The sequence below is a fragment of the Homo sapiens genome, chromosome 21 (assembly GCF_000001405.40).
Source record: "Homo sapiens chromosome 21, GRCh38.p14 Primary Assembly".
Lineage (NCBI taxonomy): Eukaryota > Metazoa > Chordata > Mammalia > Primates > Hominidae > Homo > Homo sapiens.
In genome coordinates this window covers 24,271,147-24,284,180 of record NC_000021.9, presented here as the reverse complement: position 1 = coordinate 24,284,180, position 13,034 = coordinate 24,271,147, and positions in this window count along the sequence as shown.

The window sequence follows — 13,034 nt, the reverse complement described above, 5'->3', positions numbered from 1 at the left end:
GAAACTTACAATTATGGCAGAAGGTGAAGGGGAAGCACAGCAAGTCTGACATGGTGGCAGGTGAGAGAGAGCACATAAGGGAAACTGCCACTTTTAAAACCATCAGATCTCATAAGAACGCTCTCACTGCCATGAGAACAGCATGGGGGAAACTTCCCCCATGATCAAATCACCTCCTACCAGTTCCCTGCCTTGACACCTGGGGATTATAATTCAAGGTGAGATTTGGGAAGGGACACAGAGCCAAACCACATCACTGATCACTATACAATATTTCAATAGAATATTATAGTTTGCTAATATTTATGCTTTTATTTTTACTAATACTGTATATATGTATATAAAAGTAAAATACTTTCATTAATACTGTATCCACTTAATTTTAAATATTATTTTTATGGTGCTTACGGTCATTTATGTTTCATCATTCTATATTTTGTTTATCTTACGTTATTTTCTTATTCATTTATTTCAAAGATCTTTTAAAAGTCATATATTTTTCAAAGAACCAAATTTTTGGTTTTATTAATTTCTAATTTTGTCTATGTATTTGTTTTTCTTACCTTTTAAATTTTTATTTCTAACTTTATGATTTTATCTCCTTTCCCCAACATTTAAAATAAAAGCTTATTTAGTTGTAGTAATACATCTTATATATTACTTTAACCTCATGTCCTAAATATTTCTTAATTTATACTGTGATTTGTTTTTATGTAGGATATTTTATAACTGGAAATTTGGTCTTCAAATATATATGATTTAGTTATTAATTTCTAATATTTTTATTAAGTCAAAAGAACATGGTTAGCATATTCTTTCTTTCGTCAGTATTTATTGAAACTTTTTTATTCACTAATATAGGCTTAATTTTCAGACAATATGAATACCTGCTGAAAAAAACAACAGATCAGAAGATAAACTTTTAGAAAGCACCAAATTGAAAAATAATTAAGCATCTTTTAAGTATAATTGTAAGTTCCATCCTAAGTGCTAGAGCATACATCCAAAATTCTTGGCTCGCTTGAAGTCTACATAAGCATGGGGAAATGAAGGAATATATACATAATAAAAATATTTTATTATAAATATATTAGATATTAGATCACAAATAAGGGCCATGAAGAAAAAGAGGCCACAAAGGAGCAAGGGTGAGATGTTATTTATAATAGGATGTTTGGAAAATGTGTCAGAGAAAGTATATTTGAGAAGAAATGTAGTGTATACGTGAAAGGCATCTATGGAACTATCCAAAAGAAGAGCTTTCTAGACAAAGACAAATGCAAATTAATGGTGTGCTCTATGCACTGATGAAGGTTTTTAATAATAAGTGTTGTGGTTGGGGTTAAAGAAAGACCCCTGATTTATATTGCTCTCTGAATCTTTGTGTTGAAAATACTCTGACCATAGTTAGTTTCAACTTACCAACATGAAATCACTGAATACAGAGCTGGAAACAAATGTACAGTAGCACACCGTTGTACGATTGTGGTTGGGACAACTATATTTTATTTATATATTTACCATGTAAATACAATAGTGTGTATACAGACATGATAGACGTGAATAACCTCCAGAATATAGTGAAGAGTAAAATAGTAAATGATGAGTTTTAGACATATATTACATATGTTTTTCAATATATATTTTTAAAATTTTGTTTTATATAATTTAATATTTAATACTGGCCTGATTTAATAATAGATTTTTAAAGTTCCTGCAAATGTAATCATTAACACTCATATGGAATTCTAGGACATCACTGGTTGCAAGAGTTCAAGGCCAGTCTTTGGGATGGACTTAGTGGATACAAATTCAAGTTAGGTACATGAGCACTAGAACAGACAGGATTGGGTAAGCCCATATATAGAATTTTGCTGTTATTCTAGATGGCTAGGGAGACATTAGAGTGAAGTCGAGAGGGGCCATGACTATTATTTTTAATGGATATCAGTGACTTCTCTTTTGAGAATAGATTGAATTATGGCAAATGAAACACCAGTAAAACCATTTAGGGGAATGTTTCAGTAATCCAGGGAAGGGATTATACTTTTTAGACTAGGCTTAGCAGAAGAAATAGAAGTAAATGACCAATTCTGGATATCTTTTGAAGGTAAAAAAAAAAAAAAATTGCAAATGGATTGAGAGTAGAGTGTGAAATGAAGTCAAGGATTTTGACTTTGAGCTTTTAGAAGAGTGACATTTTTATTAACTGAGATGGGGAAACAAGGGGTAGAATAGAATGATGTCAACATTTGAACATGCTAACTTTAAAATGGTACAAATGAAAATGTTGTATAGGAGTTCAATATATGAATCTGAAGTTTATGTTTTTAGATATAGATAACTAACTATAACTCCCAGGTGGCTTTAGTAATAGGCTTAATAGTAATGGAATTGCTAGGCACTAAGAGAAGTAGTGTCTTGCATTAAGTAGAAAATGTTTAAATAATCACCTGCGTACATATATAATAAGTATAATTATTCTGTTTTGGGGTATAGAGGGATATAAGTCAATTATATTAATAAGAGGTATAGAAAATACCTTCTTTTTAGTTTTAAATGCTTTCAACATTTATTCCCCAGTGACTAGTGAAGGCCACAATCACCCCAGAAAATTTGCTGTTTTTTTTTTTTTTTGAGACTGAGACTCGCTCTGTCACCCAGGCTGGAGTGCAGTGACATGATCTCGGCTCACTGCAAGCTCCGCCTCCTGGGTTCACGCCATTCTCCTGCCTCAGCCTCCCGAGTAGCTGGGACTACAAGTGCCCACCACCATGCCCGGCTAATTTTTTTCTATATTTAGTAAAGATGGGGGTTTCACTGTGTTAGCCAGGATGGTTTCAATCTCCTGACCTAGTGATCTGCCCGCCTCGGCCTCCCAAAGTGCTGGGATTACAGATGTGAGCCACTGTGCCCGGCTGAAAATTTGCTGCTTTCTAATAGAGATTCAATCTGTCTTCCTACTGACCTCAAAGAGGAATTTTAAAAAGCATACATATCTCTGTTTCTCCAGCCAGTTACCACTTAAAATAAGAGTAAATATAATTTGTAACAATTGCTATATGCATAATTTTCTTATTTTAAAATTCTGGGTTTACATTTATCAACAAATGCTATTACAGTGTCCTGGCAACCTAACTCCACCTATGTTTACAATTAGAAATATTTTTAAAACACTAATGTTCCAGTAATAATTTCACAGTCATTATCTAATATTTAGTATAATTTCATGAGGTAAATATCATGTTGATTAGTGATATCACATGTATCTTTGGAGACCTGAACACAGAGATATTCTGCTGAGTGCTGCCCTTCCTGTCTGGTCTTATTTTCGTAAGTCCTTCTTCACTTAAACTGCCACATTGAGTGATAACCAGAGGTTAGACTCTGGTAAGAGTCAGGGCTTTGTCTTGAATGCCTTAGTTATGATTCACGCGACCGAAGTGTACACAATTCTGGGCATATACATAAACATATATATATATATATATATATATAGTGCTGAGCATAAAAAGAATATGTAGTTATCCCTCTTTTCTGTTAAATGTAATCTAGCTGATGAGATCTAAGACTACCTAATCACTTATATTAAAATTCAAATACGTTGAATAGCTTTAAAAAGGAAAAATAAAATGTTGTGGAGGCCAAAAGAAAGGAGAAACCTTAGCAAGTTGCAAAAATCATCAAAGCTCTTATGGAAAAAGCGATGTTGAGTTTGAACTTGATGAATGAATAAAATGTCAACAGGTGGAAAGAGTAGTGAGAGATGACGAGGCAGAAGTGTAAACTGTGAGCAAAAAGTCTTGATGTTGGAGAAAGAGGAGATATTTGGAAAACAAGTAAGTATGGCTGGACTGAAGGTCAGCATAGAGGAATAATATACATTAGAGATGGAAAATATTTTAGAGTGATATTATTGGGAGGCTTGAAAGATACTGTGAGTTTAAAAAATTTTATTAGCAATTGTAATTCTTTCCATGTCTGTCATTAAGAAATTGGTATAATTGCAAGTTAGAAAATAGTTCGCTGGGTAATGCACATTGCAGGACCTCACTCAGGATAGTGGTAGTAACAAGAGAAGAATGAGTGACAGAAGGAATTTTGGAGGTAGAAACCACAGGAGTTTAAAAAGAACTGGGTATGAGAAGTAAGAAAGAAAATGAAACCAACACCAACTGTGGAGTTTTAAGACTGAGTAGCAGAACGTTCCTGAAATTAAGAGGTAGACAGACATGGAATCAACCCAAATGCCTACCAATGATAGATTAAACAAAGAAAATGTGGTACATATACACCATGGAATACTATGCAGTCATAAAAAGGAATGAGATCGTGTCCTTTGCAGGGACATGGGCAGAGCTGGAATCCGTTATCCTCGGCAAATTAACACAGGAACAGAAAACCAAACACTGCATGTTGTCACTTGTAAGTGGGAACTGAAGGATGAGAATACATGGACACATGGAGGGCAACAGCACACACTGGGGCATTTTGCGGGGGCAGGGGGAGGGAGAGCATCAGAATAGCTAATGGATGCTGGTTTTAATACCCAGGTGATGGGCTGATCTGTGTAGCAACCACTATGGCACACTTTTACCTGTGTAACAAACCTACACATCCTGCACATGTACCTCAGAACTTCAAAGTTGAAAAGAAAAAAGGCAGACAGAAGGCAAGAAGGGAAGAAATAAAGTCCAGTTTTGCAAATGTTGAATATTAATTAGATGACACCAGGGAGTCAACTGTCTACATCCTCTGAACAACAAATGGAGGAGAATGAAAAAAAAGTATATATATATACACATAATTCTGACAGTTATTAGAATAGGAATATTAGTTGATCCAGTGAAAGCAGATGTGATTTTGGCAACCCTAAACGGAAAGTTAGACATACTTCTTAACCTTTTCTCCTCTCTCCAGGCCATTTCCCACTTAGAGATACCTTGAATTTTGAACCTTATTTTCCCCACTTATGTTATCTTTTTTTTATTCAGAGTAAGCTGATTATCAAGACAAGTTTCTCTTTCACTGATAAATGCAGCAAGACTGCTAAATGCTCACCAAATGTATTTTCTTCTTTCTTAGCACAAAATTCTGCTTTTGCTTGTAAAGTTAGGAAGGCCCGCTTTTAAATAATAATTGTTATCTCATCTTCTCTTATCATATATCACATTTTGGCCAATAAATTGAAGACAGAAGTCAGAAAGAAATGCACATGGGCTCAGCCATCCAGAATACTTCTCCTTTTGCTCATGCCCTTCTTCCTGCCTGAAACACCCATGTGATGGCTGGAGTTTTTGCGGCCATCTAAACAGCATGAAAATGAGAGTTATATTAAAATTAAGAACAAGCATGATGTTAAAGAGTTAGCACTCTCTTTGATGGCATCCTGGCCCTCTAATCTGGAACTCTCTACTCTGAATTTCTTGTACTTGAGAAAACATTACATTTATAATTCATGTAAGGCAGCTTTTTGTTGCTACCTGAATACAATGCCTAAATGATTAAATTAATTCAATGTTTTCCTGTGCCAATCTGCCATAATATGATTACAAGGATCTATTTATCATCACCATGAGCAATGTATCAATTTTAAGGAAAAGCAATATAAATATCCCATGCTAAGCTACATAATCAATGTGACCTAGTAATATGCATTAAACTAAAAAAAAAGACAAAAAAATGAGACGTGCTTTTTGGATGACAGTGTCATTTATCACCTTGAAATGACTTCAGTTTCTTATTGCGATCACCTTGGTTAACGAGTAGGAACAAACATATATACATCTAAATAAACATTCCACCAATCAGATACCTGCTGAGAAAGCATAACATCTTGAAGTGTCTTCATTTTCTATTCCTAGCATGCTTGCTTCGTGCAGTATGCAGTATGAAATATGTGCAGATACAGTAGAGGAAGGTATAAAGCAATTTGACCAACTAGTGGCTTCTTTCTTTTGAGATAAGTGGTGTATGGAAAACAGTGACAAACAAGGAAATGGGAGGCACACACACACAAAGGAAAACATAAAAAGCAGAAACCTGATTATCTTATCTTGAATAATTTATCTTTTTTTATTATTTATATTTCCTGCACAGTAATTGGTAATTTTAAAAAGGAACATTTTGAATTTACGCTATTAAAGCAAAAAACAAAAAATGCAAATGCAAGTTTAAATATTAAGGACAGTCTAAAATTCCCAAACACATAACTCATCTTTTTTCTTATTTGATCACTGATGATAAATAAATATTGCTCATATTTACTAAATCTTTTCTTTATTAATATATTTATATTTTCTAAATATGCTTTTTATATTATAGAATGAACAGAAGGAATATAGAAAAATTCAAAATGTCTCATTTATGTTCCAAACAAATTTGTTCTACCTATTCAAAGAAACAAATCAGAAAGCTACTCTTTTTTTAATGTATTATGCCTAACCAGGGGTAAACAGAATATACCCACAAAAAAAATTTGGTAAAATAAGAAACACTAGCAGAAAATTTGTATGGCTTACTTTTGAGATATTCTTTTTAGCTTCATTCAGAGCTCATTTTTTTTTTTTTTTATGGATGTTCACACTTTAATACAGGACTTAGGCATGGTTGCTCATCCTCAGCTCTAGTTATCAAACCTGATCAGTTTAAACCAATAATTAGGATTCATAATCATTTTCAGTGATTGAGTTAGTCACAGACTTTAAAGAAGTTTTAACCAATAAGATCATTACAGATATCTGCTAGAAAGTTGTATGGAAGTTTATTCTGAAGGGAAGAAGGGAGACTGGGAGGGAGGGAGGGTGGAAGAAGGGGGAGAGAGGGGGGAGAGAGGGAGGGGAGAGGGAGGGAGTGGGGAGAGAGGGAGGGAGGCAGGGAAGAAAGGAAGAAGGGAGAGTGAAGAAGGGAGAGCCAAGGAAAAAGAGAGAGATTTCTGCTGATTATTCCAAATTGCAGATCTGGGACTAATGTAGCCTTATAATCATCTGAGCTGAAAAATTCAGATCTCTGGATTCCTCTCTGACCTATTGATTCAGAATCTCTGGGGAGTAGTGATCTGAAATCTTAAAATGTAATGTGCAATTTAGTTGGATCTTAGCTGTACAGCTAATAGACATAAAATAAACTTTTTGATATACAGAAAGTCTTCACTCTTTTGCATTTTTAACAAGATACATAATCCCAATTCATTTAATATTATCAAAATGGCTAAGACACATAATCCCAATTCATTTAATATTATCAAAATGGCGAATTCACCAACATTCAAAATCTTGCTTGTGACTCAAATCTAGGTATCTTTAAAATAATTATCTCTCTTCAACCACCCAGAACTTGTCTCACACACCTAAAATCCTGAAAATAATTAGCATCAGCAAATGCCAATTTCTAAGAATTCAAATAACTTTGCTTTTGGTCATTGTAGTCAATTCTAGAATATTCCCCATTAAGAAGTTTGGATTTTTTATTAACTTTATTTCAACAAATAAATGTTATTTAAGAACTTGCAATGGGTTAGTAATCAATGCAAGTTCTATAGTTTGTAGAATCATCATTCTGTAAGCATAAGTAAATTAACTCAATTCTAATGATGTTAATTTAGTGTAGATTTGGATGATCACAACTGTTTCACCAAGTCTGTTGTCTTAATGACCAACAGAGCAGATGCTCCTCCTTCTCTTAAGCAATACTCATGAAGATAATTATTAGATTCTGCACAGACAAAAGGAATGTGCTCTCAGCTGGGACTTGTTCCTGATAACTAGGCTGCAGCATCTGCCTGCTGATCAGTAGAACAAACAAGCATGAGTTACAGAAAATAACTCACAGCTTTTAATATACCTGGTACAGTTTATTTGCATTCCATGCTGATACAACTGCAGAGTGGGTTTGGAAATATACTACTGATAACATACTGTCATTTGTACCATCAATGAAGCTGGTGATTAAACCAGCTTCATTTCTGAATATAGTTACTGAAAGATAATTACAGAAGATGCAAGCATCTAGAAATTAAAAATGTCAGCCATGCCCTCTGTCAAGATATTCTGCAGCAATATGACTTTTTCTTATGAAGCAAGTTGCTTTATTTCATCCTGTGATGTCTTTGTTTAAATCAGTTCTAAAAAGCAGATTATATGCAAATGAACCTGAATAATTGGGAATACCTCACAATCTTAATGTTAAATATGCAGACCTAAGAATGTGTCCATGTTTCAATGTATTGTGATTCAGGGTTATATTTGCATATTCATAATTTACATCTTTAATTAAAAAAAATACAAATGTGGGGGCACTTCTCTGCAGGTTCGATATCTTAGGCATTCTGATTTGAGGAAGTCCTTTTTTTCCCTGACAAAGTAAGATAAGATTACTTTTAGCTGACATGACTAAAGTAACAGATTCTCTTCAAGCACAATTTAGGTAAAATTACCAGAACACAATGTATTCAAAATATTCCATCAGGATTTTTTAACATATTATACATACTTAGCAACTTATGAAAAATAAGAGTCTTAATAGCTGTTCATCCATAAGCAAATAAATGTATTTGTTCAAATCATTTCAATCTACATTAACAATTTAGTTTAAGTTTTGGGAAAGATAACCTTCATGATGTCAAACAAATATCTCTAGTTTCTAATGGGTCTGCAAGAGAAATTCTCTAATAATTAGCATTTATAAAGAAAATGATTTTAACCAGAAATATCCAAACAACTTTTTATTTGATAAATGGGCTTATGTGCTTTGTGCTTTATAATGTGTATGTGTTTTGCTTCTCAACTGCAAATGTTACACGTTTCTTGAGTAAAACTACTATGATTAGTTATACACCTCCACCAGAAATATATACACCATGATATACCACCACATAGTTGCATTTAACATAAGCAACAACCTGAAAATCAGAGAGTCTTGCTAATTAAATTATCTTTTGATGGTCCAAAACTGGTCCTTACCTTTGTTTCCAGTTTCTAGACTAGTGACATTTAAATATTCTTTCTGTAACTCCAATTACAAAACTCCTTTTATATTTAAAATGTTTTGAGTTAAACCATCTTTAATTTTTAGCCAACTTTAAGATATTTGATGTTAAAATTAAAATTAAATAGCTCTCTTAGCACATCAAAACATTTGACATTAAAAAATATGTGCATTTGCTACATAACTAAACTTCTCAGATCAATTATAATCAAAATGGACTATGAGGCTGGGCATAGTGTCCCATGCCCATAATCCCAGCACTTTGGGAGGCTGAGGCAGGAGGACCACTTGAACCCAAGAGTCTGAGACAAACCTGAGCAACAAGGCAAGACCCCCATCTCTATAAAAAATAAAAATAAAAAAAGTAGACAGGTGTGATATTGTGCACCTATACTCCCCACTACTTGGGAGGCTGGGGTGGGGGGATTGCTTAAGGCCAGGAGGTCAAGGCTGCAGTCAGCCATGATCACACCACTGCACTCCTACACTCCTGCCTGGGTGACAGAGCAAGAACTTGTCTGAAAAAAAAAAACAAAAAAGAGAAAAAAAAAAACAGAGAGAGAGAGAGAGAGAGAAATGGACTGTGATGACCAGAAGTAGTGACCATTATTGGACATAAGAGCATTATGCTATTAAAAAAAAAGTGACCATTGCAAACACATGAAAGCCCTATTCACTGAACAGCTAATTTGATTACAAGAAATTCAGAGTAAGATGTATCAAAGTTCTCTGCCTATGGCAAACAGTACAACTTTTGTGCCTGTGTTCTTTCATATTACCTGCTCTCTCTTCCTCATCTTCACCCTACTCCACTAAACTCATTCTTTCTAGCCACAGTTTACTAATTCTTTAATGATCAGTTAGCCCTACCTACTCCCTAAATCCTCTCTCATGTTCTAGCCAATTCCATCTTTTTGAGATTCTAGAATGCCTATGGTTGTTTCATTCACTTTGGCAGCTAGTCATGTTTGCTCTTATTATCATCCTCTCAAAAAATAGCTGAGCATCTGTTATGGGTCAGAGATGATGGAATATAAATATATAAAGACAGGTTTCATGGATCTGTGCTTTCTGTCTAGTTTATTTTCAGTAACGGACATTTGACATAAGGTTATACATCAAATAAAAGTCAACATCCATTCCTAATGGTACTGAGAAAAATAGTTAAGAGTTACTAAATTCTTCATATCTGCTTAACACTACCCTACGGCCTTTACATGTGTTTTCTTCTCCTAAATGAACTAAATTTAAGACGGTGTTAGCATTAAACAACTTTTCTTTTTTGTCACTACCCCCTTAAACCAAGCCTGAAGATTCATTACTTCTACAAAGCCATTAGATGAACATTTTGGCTGGTGTAAAAACATTCTCAATCACTCTTGACAAATAAACATTCCTCCAGGTATTTTAAGTCCCAAACAATCCATGTCAGTAATTAAAATATCAATTCTAATGTAAAATAAAATAATTAAAATTCTTACATAATATAGAACTTCTTATCTCCTCCAGCTAGATATTACTTCAGACTTAGGGATGGAGGATGAAAGAGTAAATATGGCCAATTCCTTTTTTTTTTTTTTTTTTGAGATGGAGTCTAGCTCTGTCACCCAGGCTGGAGGGCAGTGGCACGATCTCGGCTCACTGCAACTTCCACCTCCTGGGTTCAAGCGATTCTCCTGCCTCAGCCTCCCGAGTAGCTGGGATTACAGGCGCCCACCACCACGCCCAGCTAATTTTTGTATTTTTAGTAGAGACGGGGTTCCACCATGTTGGTCAGGCTGATCTCGAACTCCTGACCTTGTTATTCACCTGCCTCGGCCTCCCAAAGCGCTGGGATTACAGGCGTGAGCCACCACACCCGGCCACGATATGGCTAATTTCTGAACCCTATCCTAGCTATACTTCCTCTTTATCCAAACATTTATGAGTTTCCCTAACCTTCCAGGATTTGAGCTAGGGAACAGGTAATTACCGGCAAGGAGAATTTGTTGTTGGCAAGTGTTACTGTCATCTGGTATCAGGACAAGGTGTGTGATTGTGAAACAGGCCTTGTTTTCTGGGGTGCCTACTACCCAAAGCTCTTGGTCTTGAGACCAAGGAAATCAAGGAACAGGGACACACCAAGGGTGAAGTTGGAACAGAAGTTTAATAAGTGAAAGAAAGAGAGAAAGCTCTCTGAGATAGAGAGGGGTCCCGTAAAAGGGTAGCCATCCTACAGTGAAATACAAGAATTTTATAAACGAGCTAGTGGGGAGGGGATTCTTTATCTACATAAGGCAAGAAAACCCGGTTAGGACTGGGTATGTTATCTGCATAAGGTGCAAATTCCTGACAGCCCCCACCCAGTCCTTCCAATGCACATGGGGGATCTTAGCCTAAGTTACTCCATGTTGCTCAATTTCCCTTACTGCACATGTGTTAGGGGGCAGCGGGCAGAATCTTCCCTTGTGGATGTGCCTGTCCCAGTGTAACTCTCCTTATCTGTGCAGCTGCAGGCATGTTCCAAGCAAGCCCTCCTGTGTAAGCCTCCTTATCTGAGTATATCCAAAAAAAGATAAGAATGTGCTCACTGGGGTCCCCGTATGTATATAAAACTTGCTGATCACACAGAAGGCACTCTTTGGTGCTGGGTCTTGCTTCCCTTATCTATGCTTGCAGCTTGATCTTTTACGCTGCTCCTTTCCTTTTGTTAGAAGAGAAGTTCTGCCAAGGACCTTCCCCTTGGCAAATCAACTAGCTGATTTCTTTCTTTCTCGTCTCTCAATTGGAGTTGATTCTTTTCTTCCATAGGCACTTTCGAGGGTTTTGTTTCTGTTTTTGATTTTGTTTAGATTTCCCTTCCCCTCACAACCTCTGATTTCTATTTCCTGGAGTCTCTTCCACTGCCACTGCTCACAACTTGCTTCTCAGCAACTGGGCTGCTGTGCTAACCAGAGATTTATCCTTTCTAATAGAGTCAGCTGCACAGCACACTATAAACTACCCCCCAACCCAACCAAAGACACTCCCTTCTATTTTAGACTCTTGAACCTCTTACAATTTTGATGTGGGTGATGGGCCAAAGGTCTCCAAATCAGTTTTAAGCATCTCTCAACAATCCAACCCAAGTGCATTAATAAGGTCAACAAATATTTACTGAGTGCTCAGGCACTGTTCTGGTCAGTGAGAAAACTTTAGTAAACAATCGGACAACAACCCCTGTCTTCATGGAACATAGATTTTTAATGAGAGACACAGAAAATAAATATGAGTTTGAAAAAAGAAAAATATATACTATGTACGATGGTTAAATTTTATGTGTCACTATGACTAGGCTATGGTGCCCAGTTATTAGCTCAAACACTAGTTAAGATTTTTTTTCTGTGAAGTTATTTTATAGATGTGATTAACATCTACAATCAGTTGAATTTAAGAAAATTACATGGGTCTCATCCAATCAGTTGATTACCTTGTAATCAACTGAAATCATGATTGAACATACAGCCTGCCGGACTGCCCTTTACATTTCAGACTCAAGATTACAACGTCAATTCCTGTCTGAGTTTTCAGCCTCTCAGTCTGCTCTGTGGATTTCAGACTTGCCACCTCTCACAATCACGTGAGAAAATTTCTTAAAATAAATAATAGATATGGAGGAGACGTTAAAACATTTATCTCTTTCTCTATCATCTGTCTATCATCTATCTATCTATCCATCTATCAATCAATCAATCATCTATCTACCTATTTATCTTACTGGTTATGTTTCTCTGAGGAACACTGATATTCTTTGGTAGATAGTGATAAGTGCATAGTAGAAAAATAAAAACTGAAAGGAGCTTGCAGTCTATGCATATGTGTGTGTGGGCGGTGAATAATTTTTAGGTATGGTGTTTCAGAAAGGCCTCACTGGGAAGGGGACTTCGGAGGAAAATAAAGAAAGGGAAGAGGTCTTGGGACTATATGCCGGCAACAGCCTTTCAGACAAAGTGAACAGCGTTTGCAAAGGGCTCTCAGCTGAGAGCATGCCTAGCTTGTTTAAGAAGCAGTGAAGCCTATGGCAGTGAGTG